At 37.5% G+C, this 24,280-nt stretch overlaps 1 long non-coding RNA gene across 28 annotated transcripts in view; it reads right to left on the bottom strand.

The window, feature by feature from the left end:
- LOC107986400 (uncharacterized) overlaps positions 1–24,280 on the bottom strand; it is a 137,038-nt gene that overhangs the window by 91,798 nt on the left and 20,960 nt on the right. For 7 of the 28 annotated variants that reach the window (XR_007059117.1, XR_001742567.2, XR_001742575.2 and 4 more), the window contains one exon: positions 19,660–19,718. The exons of 17 other annotated variants lie outside the window; for them this stretch is intronic. This is a non-coding gene — a long non-coding RNA (uncharacterized LOC107986400). Of the gene's footprint in view, positions 1–9,184; positions 9,919–19,659; positions 19,719–22,804; positions 22,927–24,280 lie in introns of those variants that run through there. 4 more of the 28 variants (XR_001742568.1, XR_001742577.1, XR_001742571.1 and 1 more) reach the window with 4 other exon arrangements.

A 24,280-nucleotide genomic window follows, 5' to 3' on the forward strand; every position in this document is an offset into this window, starting at 1 on the left:
TATATATCCAGATGCAAAAGAATAAAATTGGACCCTTACATAACACCATATCCAATTAACTCAAAATAGATCAAACACATAAATGTAAGACTTAAAACTATAAAACTCTTTGAGGAAAACATAGGGCAAAAACTTCATGACACTAGATTTGGCAATGATTTCTTTGATATGACACCAAAGACAGACTACGAAAGAAAAAATAGACAAATTAGACCTCATAAACTTTTAAATTGAACATTAGAAAACAATATAAACAAAATAAAAGGGCAGCCCTGAAATAGAAGAATTTGTAAATCATATGCCTGATAATAGAGTAATATCCAGAATATATATAAAACTGAAACTCAACAAAAGAAAAAAGTATTCCATTAAAAAATGGGCAAAACACTTTAATAGTCATTTCTCCATTTCTCCACGGAAGATATACACATGGCCATTAAGCACACCAAAGACGTTTAACACCACTAATCATTATGGAAATGCAAATCAAAACTATGATGAGATATCACCTCACACTCATTAGGATGCTACTAAACACCCACACACACTCACACACACACAAATAATAAGTGTTAGTGAGGTGGTGAGTATGTGGAGAAATTCGAATCCTTGTTCAGTCTCATTGGGAATGTAAAATGGTACAGCCGCTGTGGAAAACAGTATGGTGGTTCCTCAAAACACTAAAAGTATAATTACCATATGACGCAGCAATTCTGGTTCTGGATATATGCCAAATAGAATTGAAAGCATGGTCTCAAAGAAATATTTGTACATTCATGTTCATAACAGTATTATCCACAATAACCCAAATCCGGAAGCAAGCAAGTGACCAAAGATGATGAATATAGTAGTTAACGGTGGTACATACATACAGTGGAATATTGTTCAGCCTTAAAAAAGAAGAAAATTCTGCAGTATGCTACACATGGAACCTTAAGGATATTTTGCTAAGTGGAGTAAACCAATCACAAAAAGACAAGTACTACATGATTTCACTTATATGAGATATCTAAAGTAGTCAAAATCATAGAGACAAAATGTGTAATTGTGATTGCCAAGGGCTAAAGAGAGAGGAATATGGGGATCTACTGTTTCACGGATATAGAGCTTTGGTTTTACAAAACAAAAAAAAATATGGAAATGGATGGCATTGATGGTTACACAACATTGTGAATGTATTTAAAATAACATTTAAAATAGTCAAGATGTCAAATTTTCTGTTACGTGTATTTTGCCAATATAAAAACCTGAAAAAAAGAGTATTTTAGGGAGAAAAAAATCAGTCTTTCAACATTATATATTCCATTAGCTATGGAAATTTTGTAGATGCCTTTTACCAAGTTGAGTGAGTTTCTATTTTTAGATTTTTTATTGCTTTTACTCTGAGAGTATTGGATTCTATCAAATGTTTTTGCTGCATTTTTTAGGTAATCTTGCGGTTTTTGTTACCTTTATTCTAATAATATGGTTTATTGCATAGGTTTTTTCTGTGTGTATGATAAACCACCTTTGACTTCCAGGATTAATCCTGCTTGGTTATCGTGTATAATCCTTTTTATATGTTGCTGACTTTAAATTGCTGTTATTTTGTTGAAGTTTTTTATATATTCATAAAAGATATCATTTTTATTTATCTGCCTGGTTTTGGTACAAAGATATTACTGATCTCTAGAATGAGTCTCTGTATATTATCTTCTCTTTAATTTTTTGGAAGCATTAGTGGAGAACTGGTATTAATTCTTATTTTTATTTCTTTTACAAGCTAGTCTTTATTTTTAATTGAAAAGTAAAAAGTGTATGTATATATATTTATATACAAACAAGTATAGTATGCAACATGATGTTTTCACGTATGTATACATTGCGGAATGGCTAAATCAAGCTATTTAACATTTGCATCACCTCACATATCTTTTTGTGTGTGTGTGTGTGTGCATGTGTGTGTGTGTGGCAATTCTTTTAACCTTGTGTAAATTTCTTCAATGAAGTCATTTGAGCTGGGGCCTTTCTCTGCAGGAATTTTTAAAGTACAAGTTCACATTCTTCTTATATATCAAATTTTCTATTTCTTCTTGATTCAGTTTCAGTAGTTAGCTTCTTCCTAGGAACTTGTCCATTTCATTTAATTCATCTAATTCATTATCATTCAGTTGTTCATAGCATTCTCTCCTAAGACGTTTTTATTTCTGCAAACATAGTAGTGTTGTTCCTGTTTTCATTCACATTTTTTAGTAATTTGAGGTCTCCCCTCTTGTTTTCTTGGTTAGTCTTTTGAAGCTTTGTCAATTTTATTAAACTTTTCAAAAAGCCTGTTCTAAGTTTTATCCATTTGCTCTATTGTTTTTCTAGCTCTATGTCATTTGCTCCCACTCCAGTCTTCACTTTCCCCTCCCTTCTTCTTGCTTGAGATTTAGTTTTCTCGCTTCTTTTGTCTCAGGTGGATGCTTAGGCTACTAAGGTGACATCAGCTTCCTTTTTTAATATGGGTGATGATAGCTATAGGTTTCTACCTAAGCAATTTTTTTGATCTGCAGCTCACACAGTTTGAATGTTGTGTTTTCAGTTTTATTCACAGCATTTTCTAATTTTCTTGTGATTTATCTCACTCATTTTTATTACCACACATTTGTGAATTTCTCAAATTTGTTTCTGTAACTTATTTTTAATTTTCTTATAGTCAGAGAACATTATTTGTATGATTTCAGTGCCTTATCAATGTATTGAGGCTTTATGAAGGGGCTAGGATCCTTATAAAGAGAGGGAGATTTGGAGACACGAAAAAGACCAAAAAGAAAAAAAAAAAAAAGCCATGCAACGATGGAGGCAGAGAATGTAGTTGTTCCACCATATATTAAGGAACACCTGGGGCCACCAGAAGCGGAGAGAGACAAGGAAGGATTCTTCCCTAGACCCTTCATTGGGAGCACAGCCGCACTGACACCTTAATTTTAGGTTTCTGTCCTCCTGAACGGTGAGATAACAAATTCCTGTTGTTTTACGCCAACTAGTTTTTCATCATTTGTTACGGCAGCTTGTAGAAACTAATGTAGCAGACTTTTTTTTAGCAGCAAAAAATCATATTTGTTTTGTATATCTGGATTTGCTTTTGTGTTTATTTTTTTGAAAGACAGTTTTTTCTGGATACAAAATTCTTGACTGACAGATTTTTCTTTTTATATTATTCTACCGATCCCTGTTTTCACCATTTCTGATGACAAACTAGCTGCTAATTCTTTGGGGTTCTCTTAATTGTGATGAGTTAGTTTTCTTTTTCACCTTTGAAGATTTTCTCTTTGCCTTTTCCTTTAAATGTTTTGACGCTTATGGGTCTAATTGTGGATTTCTTTATGTTTATTCTACTTAGAGGTTGCTGAACTTTTTTGATGTGCAGGTGTTTGGGTTTCTTTGTATTTCTGTTTTGGCCAAATTTTGGGGATTTTTCAGACAATTACGTGGAAATTCTTTTTCTGTTCTTTTCTCCATCTCCTCTCCTTCTGGTACTCTCCCATTATGTATCTGTGGTGTACTTAATGTCCCACATTTCTCTGAGTCTGTGCTCATTTACCTTCATTCTTTCACCTCTCCGTTCTTCACATTGCATCATCATCAATGTATCTTCCAGCTTGCGGATTCTTCTCTGTCAACTCAGATCTACTGTTGCACCTATCTAGTTGATTCTTACTTCACTTATAATGCAAAATTAGAATTTCCATTCTGTTCTTTTTAATAATTTCTATCTCTTCACTGATATTCTTTATTTAATAAGACATTGTCAACCTATCTTTCTTTAATTCTTTAAATATGACTTCCTTTAGTTCATGGAATATATTTAGAAAGGTTCATCGAAGTCTTTGTCTGCTAAGTCCAATGTTTGGGCCCTCTCAAATGTTTCTGCTGTCTCACTTTTCTACTGTGCATTAGGAAGGTCACCTATTACTGTTTCTTTGCATATCTTAGGATTTGTTGTTGAAAATTGGATACCTTGTATAATCTATTGTAGTAACTTTGGGTAATGATAACTCCCTGGGGCTTGCTATTGTTGTTGTTTTCTTTCTTCTTGTTCATTTGTCTGGTGGCTAGCTGGACCATTCAAGAAATTCTGTTTTCCCCATAGTGTGCCGCGCATGGTGTTTCTCCTCAGAGCCTGCAATCCGTGGTCATATGTGGAGTTTTCCTTTTCCCTGAAAACACTGGTGGTTTTAGCGGAACTCTCTTGCCTGGCTGTTTCCACGATCTCATCAGTAAGCTTGTGGATTGTCTGCTTCTGTTGGCATCACACTAATCTATCCGCCTCCACTAATTGCTGAGTGTTTGCCAGTTGATTTCTACAATGTCCTATGACAAAAATTGTTCCATAGTCTGAACCAACTAAATTGACTCTCCATTGCAAGGTTGGAAATTGCCCATTTTTGAGACTTCCCAAAGTGTTTTTCTTATTTTTAATGTTATTACTACTGTTGTAATTGCTCTTCATTGCTTTCAACAATTCAGTCCGTTGGTCCCCTTCTCAGGGTCAGTGGAAGATATTTTGCATTCCCATCTAAATTTCTTTATCCTTCCTATAAAAGACCCACAGAGCTAGACGGCTAGTTTACGCCAGTCACCATATTCCATGTTCTTGGCCACAGTCACAGCGTCAAGGATAGGCCTGAGCCTGGAGCTCCCAACTGGGGAATCTCAGAAGAGGTGACTGGAGTGGAGACCTCTTTTCCCTTCCTCTGGATCACAAGCTGTGCAGAGATGAGTCTACACACACTGGCAGACATCCTGCATCCACACGGCAATCAGCCCAGGGCCAAAGCCTGCTCTGTGGGGAGAGCACAGGAAAGGAAAGTGCAGACAAATGCAGCCACAGCACTTGCCTGGAAGCTTGATACCCCCACCGGGCTTCCAGCAGTGTGGAAGAATAAGTGGGCTCTAGGTTTCTGCAAGTTTTGGAAAATCTTCTCTCACCTTCAGCCAAACTTGTGCTGAATAATGCTGAGCTTTTTACGAAACCAGGACGCCTCTCCCTCTCACTCATGATAAAAGTGGGAGTGAATTTCATCTCCAAAGTCCTCCAAAGACCTTTGTTTAAAACATTTAACTTCATAAGTATGGAGGACCTTTCGCCAGAGATACAGTCAATCCCACCAGGCACCAGGTCCCACTAAGCCTCATCTTTTAACACTGTTGCTGGTGGCACTGCCTACTGGTTGGGCTCGGCAGAATATTAGCTGCCCCCTGTCTCCATCCCATCCTGGCTCAGAAACCATTAAGCCACAGTCCTCTGGGTGAGTTTACATTCACATTTTCCACCATAAAACATATCAAATTTGTCAAAATACACCATAACCATCCCCTGATAGATGGTGGAATGGAACATACTCTTGTTTGCAAATAGGGGCATCTGCAAAATCCATAATACCAACCTTGCTTCTAAGCTCTGAAACACAGCAAAGATAGTGTTTGTTAGGTCCTCCCCACAAAATATAAATTTTACAAACCAATTCAAGAACTAAATTTCAAAATTTGAAGTTATAAATTCAGGATAATTTATTAAAATATTATACAAACTATAAACCTATAATTCCCTTTGAATTGTTATTCACATTGAGAGCATATAGTTTTAGGGCAATGGACTAACTTGTTGCATATCTTTATTTCTGTGTGATTATATTTTCTTGATGAGCCCAGAAAATTAATGTATATATAAGATGACAAAACATACCCAGTGAGTACTAGAATGCATTTCACCACATGAGGATCTATGAAACGAGAATCCTTATTATAGTTATCACATGGTCTTTGCTCCGACATCTCCTCCATCCAAGGGCTACCTTGATCTAGAGCCCTGGTCTCTTGTCTGTACCAAAAACGATTGCAGAAGAAAAGCAGTGGGTGCTTGTGCCATTCTGAATTTTTTCAATCTTATGAGAGAAAGCAAAATACAATTCAGAATTTTTCTTCATGCCCAAAGCCATTAGCCCTGAGAAATGCTGTTATGTTTTCAGTGTTGTCATAATGCCAATCGTACTATGGTAATGCCAATCATATCATGATGTCAGTCACAGCGTGGTAAGATTATGGAGCACTGCCACCCCAAGAAGTGAAGCATCCCCATTTTCTCCACAACTTAGCAACCAATAGTTCTCTTCCAAATCAAACTCAAAAACCTCAATATTGCCCAATTGAATTTTCTTCTGTAAAGAAAACCTGAGCCCCATGACCTGCTGAACATTTGCCTTAGTCCAGCAATTGACTGTGTGCTCTTAGAGACATCTAAGAACTGCAGCAAGGCTGAATGGCCATCGAGGAATTAGAGTGCACCAAGGGTCTACCCAGCATCTTATACCAATGTTATCACTGTGAATCTGGCCTGCCTTCACTAGTAAGTGGTGCCAACTGTACAGTCCCAAGTTGTGATCTTGGAATATGCTCAGGGTATTATAAAATCACCAGTCCCTAACTGCAGCTGGTGCAAATTGCTGGGCCCTCTATCACTATAAACATTATACAACACAATTGTGGGCCTGTTGTTAGGACTCTAAGGCCAGCCAAGAGATCTTATCCTATGTGAGTTAATTGTCATATCAAAGAGTCCTGAGACACACTGAGTAGTTCCTCGGCTTCTGAAGGAAAGCATACTCAGTGCCTTGAGATCCCATGGTTCTGACAGCCACAACTGGGAGCTGCATTTACTTCTTCTCCATGTCCTCAGAAGGTCTTGTGAATCACAAGATATGTTGGAGGCTGTGCTGGCAGTCTCTCAGCATCTGACTTGTTGAGCAAGGAGACCCTGTGTTAGACTGGAAACATGGGAGGAAAGAACTTGAAGGAGATGCCAGAATTAGTGACTCTGAGATGTTCTTAGCACTCACATCCCCTTTCTTGACAATGCTACAAGATGTCTGTACTTTAAATTTAATTTTTAATGGTTCTGACTTGAATAGAGTTTTCACTCTCAAACTGCTGCAATGTCTTCCATTAGAAAAATATTTCCTGGGAACAATTCAGTCTTCTCTTTTGAGAATAAATGGACTGAATGAATAAATTTTAATTGTACCAAAGCACCTTGTAATCTTTAAATAATGAGCTAATTCTGTATACTCACATCAATGAGGGCTCCTTATCCTTAGCAAAGTCTTTCTGCAGCAGACAATAAGGTGTGGGCTGCAGTTACCAAATTCTTAATGGTGGCATTTCCTTACCTCTGTCGTGCAGTTGTACTTTTTTAGCACTCCCACAAGTCACCTAATTAACTTTCTCTGGTGGTCACAGATTCCATGCATATTTAATGTTATTAAAATAAGTTTGATCAGCCAGTGCTGAGCGGTGTTCAGCACGCAATTAAGGCAGCCCATCTTGACTTCACACATGGGCTGCTGTAACCTGGCAGAGAATTATTCTGATGCATCACATGAGTCCTCCTCCTCCTCCATTGTTTTATATCACATTTGGATTGCCAAACAACTTTGACTGCTGCATGTGCAAAAATTAAAATGCCATCTGAAACCATCATTATGCACATAAAGCATACATCCCATGCATGACTCCTATAGCTTAAGATCTCTGCTACTTTCATGTACTTGAACTTTTGAAGGGAAGGTTTGCCCCCAGGTCCCCATGGTGTAAGGGTTATGGGATATGACTGCTCTCAGTTCTGTGATTTCTGAAACTATTTGCAACAAGCTACCATTCTCTACTAGAAAACATCTGAAAACCATTTTGTTGAAAAAAATCGGCTCACCCAAAGGTATTGGGCATTGCTACTCCTGAAGACTGCTGCATATTTATGGTGATTTGGCATAACAACAAATACAGAGGGATTGTGTTTGCTGAGGTTAGCAGTAGTTCAGTCTGTGCATTGCAATTCACTGAAGAGGGGATGTGGTTGCACGTTTTGAGAGATGGTGGAAATCTCATTTTACCAACAGCTGTGTAGGGATTTGAAATTAAATGGCCAACAGTTGTGGATACTGAAAATTAAATGGGATGGGGAAAGTTGGCAGCAAATATCCTTTAAAGTTATTGCTTATTTTCTTGTTTATTTGTTTTACAAATTAGCATCATTATTTTACATTTGAGAAAATTACAGCAGGAGAGGGTAAATGTATTTGCCCACAACAACACAAATAGCATCAGAGTTAGAATTTGAATTCAGTCCTCTGGCTTCAAATCTCACTTTTGAACCCCCAAGCAACACTAGCCCTCTGCTGCTTCCTCTCTCCCTCCCTCCCCTCTTTCCTTCCTTCCTTCTTTCTTTTTTTATTCTTATGACAGTAATTTTAAATTTCTCTGACAAGACCATCACAAGACTAAAATACAAAAACAAAAAATAGCTAACTAGAATTTTTAAATAATGGAAAAAAACACAAACACTTACTTCCAAAATTTTACCATGGTTGGAAGATATTATTTTTAATACTATCTTTAACACCTTAAAAATAATTTCATTCCCTTGATGGAATAGGAATTTCTCAAATATGGTATATTATCCAGAAGAAAGGGGCTTTGGGCAAGCATGGATCTCTTTTCTATTCTCCTTACAAACAGCTTCATGACAATTTCTAGAGACAGAAACACACTGATGTGAAGCTTGAAGTGTACGTGTGTGTACGTGTGTATGTATGTTAATGTATATGCATGTATGTAGACTTGTGTGTGCATTTATGTGTGTCTGTGTCTGTGTGTGTGTACATGTCCATGTTTGGAGATGTTCTTGACATGATGCTTTGTAATCACAATTCCAAACATCAACGGAAGGATTTTTCTGGGCATTTCTTGCCAACAAGTTGGAGAACAATGGCCAGAGGGAAAGTAGGGCTTTGCCGCTACCTCCAAAATCTCCAGCTCCACTGTTAAATTCCATTTGAAAGATGCCCAGGAGGAGACCACATTTCTGAAGCATGGCATGTAGGATCAGGGCTTCCCTTGGAAAATCTTGCCTGGGAATACTGTCCTGCCCTCTGAAGCCACCTGCCCCTACAGAGGCCCTGCCACTCATGATGAATCCCTTGGTGGAGAGAGATTAAGATTTACTGGGTCAGGTACCACTCTCCTTTTTAAAAAAGGATGTTTTGGAAAAGGGGTTTTAGAAAAAAAGGATATTAGTGTGGAATTTTCAGCCTTTACAAAACATAATACCTTCATATTTTTATTAAAACATTTAGTTCTATTTGTTTGTGTTTGTTTTGTATTAAAAAATACTTCAGAAACTTCAACAAAACTTGTTTTTTAGAAAATCAGAAACCTGCGAAAGGTTACTTTATAATGTAAAAGCATATGGCTTTACGATTGCCTTGTTTACAGTAAAAGCAAAGATGTATGTGTATATATGGTTTTGAATGCACTTCTTTGAAAAAAAGATATGGAGTTTGAATACAGGTAATGTTTGATGATGAGGTTAGACTGGAATAGGATGTAGGGTGTTTGGAGCTAGAGGTGTTAGCTAAAGTAGGTGCTAAGGTTTCAGTCTGGGGTTGGGGTTGAAAGTAGGAGCTGGGCTCACGGGGTGGGGGGTTGATTAGGTCAGAAGCTGAGTTGGTGATGGGCTGAGAGAACACTTAGAAGCAAACTGATGAGTCAGGGCTCAGGCCTCCCTTAAAACTACACAGTTTCCTTATCACCCTCATTGAAGTGTTCCTTTCCTGAGAGTTCCTTGTGCAGGGTCAGGCACCATCCTTGGATCAAGCTTGTGGTCCAGTTTGGTGGTTCAGGCATTTCTTTTATTTTATAAAGAAAAATCTCTCTTTTCCCTTGACTTCCAGATAGCCACTTTTCCCCATGTCCATAGGGAAGGTCCAGCTTTTTCCATTTCTCCTTGTAGTTTCTGTTTTTCCTGTGATCTTGGTGAAGAAAATTAATTTAGTGCTTTCAGTTATCTTAGAGTCTTTGATCCTTACTTAAATACTGTGATGAAATATGATTATTTTCCTCCTTTAAGAGAGATAGAAATAAAGCTTCAGATATCCCAAGGTCATAGAGCAGGTAGATTACACATAGTTGGCATTTTATTTTAAAACTGTGTACATGTACATGTATAAAATCTGTAGTCAAAAGGGAGGGAGGAAGAAAGGAAGAGAGACAGGGAGAAAGGAAGGGAGAGAGGGAGGGAGGGAGGGAGAAATGGAGAGGAAGGAGAAGGGAGAGAGAGAGAAGGAATAATAAATTATACCAGGTCTTCTGAGACCCAAATCTCTAATTGTTCAGTTGTACCTGTAGCCTGATGATTTCCTACATCACCTTGTTAGCTATGATTCAGTGAGAATTAAAGTAGTGACCCCTGTTATCTAAAATAGCACCACCTATAATGCACATATTTGTAAATGCATATAGGAAATGCAGAGACTTAAATATGATAGAAACATTAAACCAATATATAAATGGAAAGTAGGAAAGTAAGATTTAACTTTAAAAGGAAATTTTAAATCTTGCTATATTATTATCTACTTTAGGACTCTTTAAATATACGTTGGCTGGAGCCCTGAGAAGTATATCCCCATTACCGTAAATTCCACTTAGATCGTGATGGGGATTAGTGTGAATCAAAAACCAAGCCCTCCTTCCATGTGGAGTGGCAAACCTTCGCTGCAGCCTCATTTCCACTAATCTGAGGCTGCTGTGTGATCTTTGATCACACCAAGTATTACAGATGGAAAAGTACTCTTCTCAAATCCCCAACGTGTTTCCAACTGTCAATACAATCCTTTTTAAGTGTCAAAAGCAATTGCTCTGGTTTCTACTTATACTGCTAACCATAGCAGTACATTTCAGTACTTCTAAAGCAAAACAACAACCAAATGGCATAACTGCGGGCCAGAATTCTGACAGGCACATTCACCCTCTGCTTTAAAGGCATTAGAAATCCATTTCTAAAAATTGCCATTTATGTTAACTGCACTTTAAAGATTAGGTATTTCACTCTGCAATACCTTATCTGGGAGGCAAAACACCCCCACTCCAACCCTTGAATTATACAAACAAATCACACAGGTTACATGTCTAGCAAGATGTTTAAATCCACACAGAAAATGAAGCGTTCCTAGAAAATGCAATAAACATTTTAATATTTGGAAGCAAATGAACAAAGGATGTCTCCCATTTAGAAGATTATCTCAATGAAATTGAATTCATCCCCATAAATTATACAAGACAATGGTTTGCAGTAATTGATGTAATAAAGTAGTGGGTAGAAAGAGTCACAATTCCCTAAACTAGATAAAATAAGCAATTACTCTTGCTATCAGAATGGCAGCATCAATGGGAACGCTGTCTGTGTCTGAACACAACCCAACCAGCCCTGTTGCATTTAAGCATCAGAGGCCATGGCCTTATTATCTTTCCAGGATGTGCATGTATAATAAGCTTCCCCAACAAATGAAGGGGGGATGTTTCTGGCAAAATGAAAAATGGTGCTAAACTATGTCCAGATGATTAATTCACAGAAACTCTCCATCACACAGCAACGACATATGCCCATCTCCTCTGTTGTCCCCTTGGAGATTTTCCTACTAAACGTATGTGCATATTTTTCATGGCCACTGATATTTGAATTGCAGCCTGCTCCCATGCAGAACATGAAACACTTCAAACTGCATAATGCTGACTAAATTATAAAGTCTCCAGTGGCCTGAGGTAGCAATAGCCATAATAATGAGTGTACTTAAGTGGTTTGTGTAGATCTCCCCGCCCCCTTAAATTTAATGCCTTGACTTATCAGGTTTTTTTTCTTTTTCCCCACATAACATTACTGACCACTTTGTATTGGGGAAATGCAATTGTCTCTCATTGTATAATGACTATGCAAGAATAGAAAAGGTAGTGGTCGGTGGCTGATTTATAGGCATGGTTTAATTGAATAAAGCAGTCACCTGGCATGTTTTCATCCGTTGTTATTCCATCTTGTTTAAATACAGATAATGCAAGGATTTGTGCACGTTAAAGTATAGCACTTACATTACTTTAAACGATATCATCCACTTGCACACCTAAGTTGGTACATCAATCCTGAATAATTTTCTATAATTTAGGATATTTTGCATTAATTATTTTCTGAAGAAAATGAGAAGTGCAAAAAGCAAATACATATATTTAATAATTTAGTAAAAAAAATTATGTGTTAAAATGTTGATGGTATTCTGGTTATCCTAGTCTCTTTTAATGGTTGTGCCAATTAAGGCTCAATTTTTAGCATGGCATGGGATAAAACAAAAAGTAGTTTAATATTGCGAATTTATGTAACCCACTATGTGCCAAGCATTGGTGAAATAAATACTTTCCAGTTTTCATAAGTCTTTTATCAGGCTAAAAACAGAAAGCACTATGTGCCCAGAATCTGAACAAAGAGAATCTTTCCTGGTTGGACAAAGAAATGGATTTGATGAAGGTGAAATGAAGAACAAAATTGAAAAAGGTGTTGTATCAACCTGGCCCCTCTCAGTCCTGTGGCTTGGAATGGTCAGCCCAGCCTACATGTCAGGACCTGGATTCGAGGCTTAGTCTCACCAGTGAGGTCTCCCCATTCACCCAGGCACAGCAACTCTGTCAAGGGTGGGGGCACGTGCAGGTCCTGCATCAGTGGACCTGGAACCTAGGAATTGCACTGGAGAAAGAGGTACATTCTTCCACTGGAGGCTGCCAAGGTGATAAAAGGTAAGGCTGGAGCAATTGGGATTCACTTTTCCCTGCAAATAGGAAGTCCTGCTTGTATGTAAGCCACCTCAAGGAAAACAGACCTTAGAGAAAGGAGCAGGAATTTTGGCAGTGACTTTCCTTGCGTCTTCAGGTGACTGTATCCCCGGACATTTTATCCGTGTAAGCCAATAGGTTTCCTTTTATGCTTTAACCAGTTTGAGTTGATTTTCTCATTTGCAATCAAAATACTTCTGACTCTTTTGGTCCCTTCTGCTTTACTTGAATCTCATGAGAATCGGTGCTAGCTGAGAGATCTCAGTTGTCATAATGGGATAATAAAGCTGCGGTTACCCACTGGGAGCACAGTACGAGAAAAACTCATCTCTCCCAGTGCAGAGGCAGGAAGCAGCCCTGGCCCAAGCCTCTGAAGGCCTAGAATGCCAGATGGAAGGCATTGGTGAACGAGGGGTATATAACAAAGATTTCCAATAACAATACAGATGCTTAGAAAAAAATCCAGATTTTCCACCAAAAACTAAATGTTTCTGTTTTTCATCCAATTATCCCAGCATGGCCTCTTTATGGATTCTTAGAGTGGTGTCTACATTTATTCATGGTATCAAACAAACAAACAAACATTCCTGCACATCTGTCTGAGAAGTGAGGGTGGAATATAGGGACAATTCTATCTAAGGCCATTTAGGGAAACCAACCAAGAAAGGAAGCCACATTTTTTGTTTAGTCCTAGGGAAACTCTGTCCTTTCACCCTGACTGCTGTTAGCTGTAGAGTTAGTACAACAGCTTTCATCAGAGGACCCTGCCCTCAGGATCTGGCCACTGTGTGGTAGAGGTGAGAATAAGTCAGTCCCAGGAGTGTGCGATCAGGTGCTATGAAAAGAGCTGTAAGCTCTACTTTAATAAACTTCAGCACTAAGACACAGAGTTACAAGTGAAGAAGACAGTGAGATCGAGCAGACAGGGTGTGAGGTGGGATTGGGGCATTGAGGCCCTCACCAAGCTGAAGAAATCATTTTGCTTCTACAGGTCTCTATACACTCATTCCTAGTGGGTTTTGCCCCGAAAAATGAATAAGGGCCATTTAGCCAATGGTTCAACTACTGAATCTGTCCAAGTTCTGACCCAAGGCTGGCCGCGATGCACGCATGCATGTCTTGTTCATTCTTACTCCCTTTTCCTCTGCAAACTGCAAGAATTTTAAGAGTTAATGCCTAGGTGTGGTTGACAAGGTCAGGCAGAACATTTGCTTCTTTTCTTTTTTGTATTAATATTTTCCTTTGAAAACATTAAAGAAAAAAATTAAAAAAGCAAATGGCACTAAAGGGGAAGCAGTGAAGACTCCACATTTTGCCACCCATGGGCTGGACCCACCCACAGCCTTTCCCTCAAGAGAGGCATCATGGCCTCCAGTTCTAAGCAGGAGGTGGTTCTAAGAAAGATCCCTAGAAGAGGAGTTGCTGGGTCAAAGGGCATATGCACTTTGAACATAGAGAGATATTGACAAATCATCTTTCATAAATGGTATTAAGTGGTACTTTAGAAAATGGCATCAATCTTGTAAATCTTTGCTGATCTGACCATGTGAGAAGCATTTTACTTTAATTTTACTTTGCATTTATTTTAATGAATAATTTGATTGTTTCACATATGAAAAGATATTTATATTTTCTTTTCTAAAATCTGTTTTCTTTGATATTTTTATTGTATTAATCTTTATCTTACTGATTTATAGAAGTTTCTTATATGTTAGTCCTTTGATATGAGTTATGATTATTTCTCCCAATTTGTCATTTGGCTTTTGAATTTGTTTATGATTTGTAGCCATGAATTGTTTATTTCATAGAGTAAAACCTATCAGTTCTCATCTTTCATGGCTTCTGAATTTTGTTTCATGTTTAGAAATTTTTATTATGTGATGATATTTAAAAATCCATCATGTTTTCTTATAGCATTTTTATTGTTTCACATTACTTTTTCTACTAACATTTTGTGCATTTGCACTTTATTTTGGTGAAGGATACAGGGATATAGGGTAGGATCCCACTCTACTTTTCAGATGTTATCCAGTTGTTCATACGGCATCTACTGAATAATCTATATTTCTCCTAACAATAGTAGCAAAAGCCTTCCTTTGTGATATTACCAACATCTTGTTAACTAACTTTTCTCCCACAGTTTCAGTTGTATTTTGTGAACATATATTTTATTTGGATTTTGTTTCTTGTATCCATTATTATTCTTTTTCAGTTTCTGAATCTAAAGCATTTAGATAAAACTACGTCATTTCATGTAAGGAATAATTTTTACACCTTATTAAATATTAAAACTCACTTTTGCTAGCCTCCAAGAAAGGGAGAGCTTACATGCAATATTTATTATGTTACAAAACATTAGGCAAAGCATGTTTTTGAGAATACTGTCATATCCACTGTGGTCATTAGAAACAATTTGAAGTTTGAAATACATTTATATTGTGTTCTCTTTTTTCCCCTTTCTTTGAGGTTGAAAAGATAAGAATTATTTCCTATAAAACATAGATAACATTTGAATGTTTTATACTTTATCATTCCAGAGCCAAGACCCAGAATCAAGAGTTTCTGATATATTGTTGTGGCCCAAAGCATGGTTAAGGAAAACTAAAATTTTACACATACCTACAAATTGAAGGACTCATAATTCAACCTTAAACAGAATACACTGAAAAATGAATTACTGAGAGGTGACAGCGTGCTGGCAGCCCTCACAGCCCTCGCTCGCCCTGGGCACCTCTTCGGCCTTGGTGCCCACTCTGGCCACACTTGAGGAGCCCTTCAGCCCGCTGCTGCACTGTGGGAGCCCCTTTCTGGGCTGGCCAAGGCTGGAGCCAGCTCCCTCAGCTTGCGAGGTGTGGAGGGAGAGGCACGGGCGGGAACTGGGGCTGCATGCAGTGCTTGCGGGCCAGCGTGAGTTCTGGGTGGGTGTGGACTTGGCGGGCCGCACTGGGAGCGGCCGGCCAGCCCTGCCAGCCCGGGGCAATGAGGGGCTTAGCACCCAGGCCAGCAGCTGCGGAGGGTGTGCTGGGTCCCCCAGCAGGGCCGGCCCACCGGCGCTGCATTCGATTTCTCGCCTGGCCTTAGCTGCCTCCCCGCAGGTCAGGGCTCGGGACCTGCAGCCCACCATGCCTGAGCCTCCCTCCCCCTCCATGGGCTCCTATGTGGCCGAGCCTCCCCGAGAGCTGCCCCCTGCTCCACGGCGCCCAATCCCATCCACCACCCAAGGGGTGAGGAGTGCGGGCGCACGGCAGGGGACCGGCAGGCAGCTCCACCTGCGGCCCCGGTGTGGGATCCACTGGGTGAATCCAGCTGGGCTCCTGAGTCTGGTGGGGACTTGGAGAACCTTTATGTCTAGCTAGGAGATTGTAAATACACCAATCGGCACTCTGTATCTAGCTCGAGGTTTGTGAACACACCAATCAGCACCCTGTGTCTAGCTCAGGGTTTGTGAATGCACCAATCCACACTCTGTATCTAGCTACTCTGGTGGGAGTTGGAGAATCTTTATGTCTAGCTAAGGGATTGTAAATACACCAATCAGCACTCTGTATCTAGCTCAAGGTTTGTAAACACACCAATCAGCACCCTGTGTCTAGCTCAGGGTTTGTGAATGCACCAATCAACACTCTGTATCTAGCTACTCTGGTGGGGACTTGGAGAACCTTTGTGTCGACACTCTGTATCTAGCTAATCTAGTGGGGAAGTGGAGAACCTTTGTGTCTAGCTCAGGGATTGTAAACGCACCAATCAGCACCCTGTCAAAACAGACCACTCGGCTCTCTGTAAAATGGACCAATCAGCAGGATGTGGGTGGGGCCAGATAAGAGAATAAAAGCAGGCTGCCCAAGGCAGCAGTGGCAACCCGCTCGGGTCCCCTTCCACACTGTGGCAGCTTTGTTCTTTCACTCTTTGCAATAAATCTTGCTGCTGCTCACTCTTTGGGTCCACACTGCCTTTATGAGCTATAACATTCACTTCTGCAGCTTCACTCCTGAAGCCAGCGAGACCACGAACCCACCGGGAGGAACAAACAACTCCAGACGTGCCGCTTTAAGAACTGTAACACTCACCGCAAGGGTCCACAGCTTCATTCTTGAAGTCAGTGAGACCAAGAACCCACCAATTCCGGACACATTATCATTTCTCATCTCTCTCCATGTTAGCTATAAAGGAGATCTTGATGGCCATAAATTTCAAATACAGGACAATGCCTGGACATCTGTGGATGGCCACAATGGCATTTAGACACACAGCCAAACAGGAGCCCAGCCCATATTGGGAAAAGGAACAAAGCAAGTTTCTGGTGGCTAAAATTGATGCACAAGGTGATTGAGTTTTAAGTCTTTCTCACATGTGAAAAACAAGCAGCCAACCAGTCAATCATAACCACACACTAAAAATCTTTAAAACTGTATGAATTTGAAGATAGATCCAGAAACCATAAAATTGTCTGGCATACTCTAGACAAAAGAAAAATGATTCAAACTGAAATTTAAGATTCTTGCTTCAGAAAGAGCCCAGTATTTAGTCCTGCTTTTTTTCGTAATTTAATGCCAATGATAAACCAGAAGTTTAACTCATAGGCATGACTTCTCTCATGGCAAGGCGTGTAGTCATTCAAAGTTCCTGATCATGTCCCACTGAACCATGTGTATAATGATTATCTCTGGAACCTGAGAGAGGCTATCAGCCAGTGGATAAGAGAGTCCCTATGACAGGGAGAAAGCCTGAGGAAGCCTACATCCCTCTCTTGTGGGTGAGCATGAAACATCTCCTCCAGAGCTTACAAATGGTAGATCCCAGGAGAATACAAGTGGATGGAAAGAATAACAAAGAGGAGGAGAAAGACTCAGGTATAAAGGCCCAGAAACAAGTGGAATTAAGGATGGTTCTCCATTGGAGATAAAACAAATAAGTCAACCATGGAGATAAAGTGAAACTATTCATTTAGTACAAAAAGGGAAGGAAAAGAAGAAAAAAAGAGCAAGGGGACAAGAAAAATTAAATAGCAAACATATATTTAAATTGTCATGTTAATATGTACATTAAATGCAAATGACTTGAACAGACAAAAAGGCAAAGATTGTTATGAAAAAAGCAATTTGAATTTTTTAAAGATAGTATCAAAAATAAATAGCATATATATATAATGCATACACTAAGCAAAAGAAAGCTGAAGTGGTTACATTAATCTCAAAGTAAATTTTAAAACAAGAAATAAAGACATTTCATAATTAAAAAGGAATATATTGCTAAAGACTAATTTTGCATCCAAATATATGAGACTTAAATATCAGAGCTTCAAAATAATAAAAGAAAAATGTACAGAACTGAAACAAATAGAAAACTTTAAAATTATAATAGAATTCTGCATTCCCTCCTTAATAATCAATAGATCACAGACAGAAAATTAATAAGGATCTAGAAGACATAAAAAAACGCTATGTGACCTAGCTGATATTCATAGAACACTTACAGCACTCCACTCAAACTAGCAAAAGACAGATTCTGTTAAAGTACATGTGAAACATTTATTAAGACATACAATATTCTAGACTATAAAGCAAATCTCAACACATTAAAAAAATGCAATCAAAGTGTAGTCTCTGCCCACAGTGAAATTAAACTTAAAATCAATTATAGCATTTTAAAATTCCCAAACACTTGGAAATTAAAAAAACACACTTCTGTGTAACCCAGGGGTCAAATAAGCAATCAGAAGTAAAATTAGAAAATATTTTGAGTTAGATGACAATGTAAAAGAAAAGAAGAAAGATCAATTACATATAAACATACGTGGTACACAGCTAAAGCAGTGATAAGAGGAACATTTATAGGATTAAAATTCTTACACTGAAAACAGGAAATATGTCAAATCAATAATATCTACCTTAGAAAGAAAGAAAAGGAATAGCAAATTAAATTTAAAGTGAGTTCAAGTAATGATAAAATGAAGATAAATATAAAAATCAGCAAAATTGATAACAGGAAAGCAATAGAGAAAATAAAACAAAAAGCTCATTCTTTATTTATTTACTTATTTATTTATTTTGAGATGGAGTTTCACTATTGTTGCCCAGGCTGGAATGCAATGACACGATGTCGGCTCACTGCAACCTCCACCTCCCAGGTTCAAGTGATTCTTCTGCCTCAGCCCCCTGAGTAGCTGAGATTACAGGCATGTGCCACTATGCCTGGCTAATTTTTGTATTTTTAGTAGATATGGGGTTTCACCATGTTGGTCAGGCTGGTCTCGAACCCCTGACCTCAGGTGATCCACCTGCCTCAGCCTCCCAAAGTGCTGGGATTAAAACAAGTGGAGGAATATGAGTTCTTCAGGAACTGGTGTGGGTAAAGATGGGTTTTCTGTGGATCAGAAGGAATGCAGTTTGACCATGATCTATTCTGTGATCACCAAATGGGTCATGGAGAAGAGGTTTCCCAGGCGCTCTTTAGTCTAGCTTGTGTGGCTGTTAGGGATGAGATCTGAGTCTGTTTTTGATGTTTTGCTTTAAAACAAAATGACCTAAATAGTGTCTGATGTTAGCTATGCCAAGTTCTAATCTCAAATCAAATCAATGAAGAAGCATCAGAATTCTTATGAAAGTTAAGAAAGACTTAAAACAAAAGCACTATCTGAGGAAGATTACAACCCATGTAAAAACCAATGTGTTAATGTGTATCAAGCTCATCCAAAATGACTCAGGTCATTCGAAGCTGTACACCTTTTTCTTTTATGGTTCTCAAGAAACAATTAGGCCAAGTGCGGTGGCTCACACCTGTAGTCCCAGCTACTTGGGAGGTAAGGTGGAAGGACTGCTTGAGCCCAAGAGTTAGAGACCAGCCTGGGCAACATAGGGAGATCCTGTCTCTGCAAAACATAATTAAAGAAAAAAGAACGAAAGAATTAGAAATAAAACAATTAAGTGGAATTTTAAGCATTAAAATTGCTTATAGAAGAATTATTTACAATAGTAAAGAGTGGACACTCACACTCAATATTTGACAATTGGAGATTGGTCATTGCGTTGGATCCTTTAAATTAAGAGAATCTAATAAAATAAAAAGATCATCATGTTACAGCTTCATGGAAAACTCATGTGAAAAATTACATAAAATATGACATCAAGATTATAAAACTATGTGGGAAAAAAGATCTAGAAGAAATCCCTCAAGCTATTAAATTAATGAGCCATATGCAGTAGTCTTAAGGCTGGTTTTAATTTTACCTTCAACATTATTTTGCATTGTTTCTATACTTATATGATAAGGCTATTTTTAAGTTAAATCTCCCTAAAATAATACCAAAGTAAATGAGGAAACCAAGTGAAAAATAATAACTTGTTCATCAATTACTTATTTATTTAGTACTTAGTGATTGTTGAATATTTATTTGTAGAACTATTATCCAAAGAGTACTTCTTTACTACTAAAATTTACATAAAAATGAGTAAATCAAGATGAGAAAGAAAAACTGAATGATCTAATTCATGTACCCCACCTTCTCTGATGCATACTCTCTTGGTTTATGTCATATAAGCAAAACTTTTTAGAAAATAATTAGTGATCTAATTACCTGCAGAAAAACTCCCCTACAGGCAGTTTATAAAGTATTTTCCAGAGTATGTGAATATGCTCAATAACTTCAAGTGTGCCATTTTAATTTCTGCCAGGCTCTGGAAGCGACATTATTGAAGGCTGTGTGTGTGTGATTGTTAAGAGCCAGGCTCTAGGCTAAAGAGCTGGGTTCAAGTCCTTACTATTCCTTATTACTTCTGGGGCCTTGGCTGAGTTACTTGAATTGGTTTTCCTCTCTGACCTTCACTTTTGGCATCTGCAAAATGGATATAATAATTCTGAACTCCTTGGATGGTAGTAACAATTCAAGAAAAGAAGTTTTCAAAGTGCACATGGGCACACACACACACACACACACACAGGTAGCTCTCTTTAATTAGAAAATCTGTGGTGCATTGCACAAAAAACTACTCTTCATATCATTTGAAATAAAATAATACAGACTAATGTACATTCTGTATGTGCTATGTGCCAGGCACTATATGCATATATGACTTCCTCTACCTTTCATGCCATGTTCAAGTTACAGAAGAGGAAACTGAAGAACTAAGGCAGTGAAAAAGAAGTAGCACCCATCTAACACAATAATGAAAACAACCTGTTAGATACAAACACCGAAACAGACCCATCTAACACAATAATAAAAACAACCCATTAGATACAAACAGCGAAACAAACAGACCCATGTAACACAATAATAAAAACAACCGGTTAGATACAAACACTGAAACAAACAGACCCACCTAACACAATAAGAAAAACAATCCATTAGATACAAACACCAAAACAAGCAGACCCATCTAACACAATAATAACAACAACCTGTTAGATACAAACAGTGAAACAAACAGACCCATCTAACACACTAATAGTAACAACCCGTTAGATACAAACACCAAAACAGACAGACCCATCTAACACACTAATAGTAACAACCCATTAGATACAAACACAGAGACAGACCCATCTAACACACTAATAGTAACAACCCATTAGATACAACCACCGAAACAGACAGACCCATCTAACACACTAATAGTAACAACCCATTAGATACAAACACCGAAACAAACAGACCCATCTAACACAATAATAACAACCCGTTAGATACCATCTAACACAATAAAAACAACCTGTTAGATACAAACACCAAAACAAACAGACCCATCTAACACAATAATAATAACAACCCATTAGATACAAACATGGAAACAAACAGACCCATCTAACACAATAATAACAACCCTTAGATACAAACACGGAAACAAACAGACCCATCTAACACAATAATAACAACCCCTTAGATACAAACACGGAAACAAACAGACCCATCTAACACAATAATAATAACCCGTTAGATACAAACACCAAAACAAACAGACCCACCTAACACAATAATAACAACCCCTTAGAAACAAACACCAAAACAAACAGATCCATCCTAACACAATAATAAAAACAACCTGTTAGAAACAAACACCAAAACAAACAGACCCATCCTAACACAATAATAAAAACAACCCATTAGAAACAAACACCAAAACAAACAGACCCATCCTAACACCATAATAACAACCTGTTAGAAACAAACACCAAAACAAACAGACCCACCTAACACAATAATAAAAACCCGTTAGAAACAAACACCAAAACAAACAGACCCATCCTAACACAATAATAAAAACAACCTGTTAGATACAAACACCGAAACAAACGACCCATCTAACACAATAATAATAACCTGCTAGATACAAACACTGAAACAAACAGACCCATCTCACACACTAATAACAACCCGTAAGATACAAACACCGAAACAGACCCATCTAACACACTAAGAATAGCAACCTGTTAGATACAAACACTGAAACAAACCCCTGTTTTAAACTGAAACAAACCCCTGTTTTAAACTGTCTTCTCTATTTTCTTTCCCTTTTAAATCACTGCCTTCATGGTAAGAGTTTTGAATACTTAGCAACACAACTGTAGCATAATAAGAGAAAGGAGAGGACAGACAGACACATAGAGAAAGGGAGAGATTTCTAAATAACAAAGAGAAAATAGAGTTTCAAGTTGTATAAAAAATAAATATTATTTGATGATGCATGTTATTCAGAATCATAAAATGAAAGTTCAAGCACTGTATCAATTAAACCAATTATCTCCATCCAATAACTATTTTGATTATAAAGAAAAGCATAAAATTTAGCATCAGTTGAATTTTATTTTGATTGTTCAAATTTTAAAGAATAATGTAAGACTTAGTTGGTTAATTACCTATGTAACCAATGAAATGAATATTGACAAAACTCTAAATTTTTTCCTATATATGAAAATGATCTCCAAACGTAAACATGCACTATTGTATGAATACTCACATCACCTGCATTTCATAGAAATTAAACAAAAAATATATTTTAAAATAATTTTATTTATCAATAGTAGAAATGTTTTTTCCACATGAAAATATGTAATATGTGATGATTATATTTTTAGATGAATAATATAATTGAATACACTTTTTCAAACTCCTGATTTTATGTTTTGTGATTTAGTCATTTGAAAGTTGGCTTCTAGGTTTTCTTTATTTTGATTCATGACTTCAGTGTCTCTCCGGGGCTGGCCAATGTCACTTTGAGAGATGAGTGGTTCACATGAAAGAGGTTTGTTTACGGCTACATTCTAACAGCAAGCACGCAAAGAAGAAGAATAAATTGTTCAATCTCACATACCAATTATACGAGTGTTTGTTAAATTTGCCTAATATTTTCCTTCTTTCCTATGTCATTCAATTATTATTGCAAGGAAATAGAATAGTCTTCTAAAATTAAATATTACCAGAAGATGTCCAATATTTTGTTGATCCTCATGTGAAAGACTTTTAAATAATTAGATTTTTCCCCAAGTTGAATTGTTCAGTTAGAGGAATTTTTAAAGGTGACAGATTTACATCATTTTTTGTAACAAATTACACAATGAAAATCAGCTATTATGTGTTTTTCAAATGTTCGCTCGTCGTAGAAAACATTTCTCTTTAAAATCAGTCACTGCTTTTTTCACTACAATTTCATTTTAAAAGTTGCCACCACTTTAAACCAAGCATTCCAATTTATTTAAAAATATCTGCCCAGTTAGCCAAGCTGGCAGCCTGCTCCCATCTCAGAGCTAACTGGCAAAGCTGCAACATTTGCCTTTTATAGAAGAAAACTGTATCCCTCATCTATACATTTAACTCCTAAGTTAAAAATGTCCCATGTATTTAAGCATCATAGATACTTTGTGTTAGAAAAGATTTTCATTACAACTTTCCTTTTATTAAACATTTTGCAAACCTTTCATGGTATCTCTTTTACAAAATAAATTAACTATATTGAAGATACCCTGTGCACTTGGGCACTTCTGTCTTCAATATTTTAACTGGTCAGAGCTTGTCTATAAATGATGTAGCAGATAAATTTCACATATGGTCCTATCTTGATAATTTTAGTTGGGAATCTTTTTTCTTTCTCTTCTTTTATTTTTGGCTTCCCCCTCACCTCCAACACCCTGTCCCAATTCTAGGAAATGTAGCCACTTCATCAGTGATTACACTTACAATTTTGTAAGTTTTTATTGTACTTGTTGTTTTCGTTTGATACTATGTTTTGGTTAAAGAAGACTGCTGGTGTTGCATGTATCAACTTTTGAGTTATCTGAGGTTTACACCCAGGCATACACATGAGTACATCTTTAAGAACTGCATTACTGAAACAAATATTGCAATCTAAAATCTGTTTAAGATACCCATATTATTATCCAATATGGGAGAAATTATCTCAGTTTGTAAATTTTTGTCATATTATCATCCAATATGGGAAAAATTATCCCAATTTGTAAATTTTTGTCAATGCAAAGACAATGATATGGTAACTAAACCTTTTTTTCCTTTTGTCCCTCTGCGCAAGGCAGCCTCCCCCAACTAGATTAATAAACTTCAGCCAAGGCCTCCATGAAGTAATAATGTTTAGCTGCCTGAAGATTGGTAGAGGTGTGCTAT

The sequence above is a fragment of the Homo sapiens genome, chromosome 5, assembly GCF_000001405.40.
Source record: "Homo sapiens chromosome 5, GRCh38.p14 Primary Assembly".
Lineage (NCBI taxonomy): Eukaryota > Metazoa > Chordata > Mammalia > Primates > Hominidae > Homo > Homo sapiens.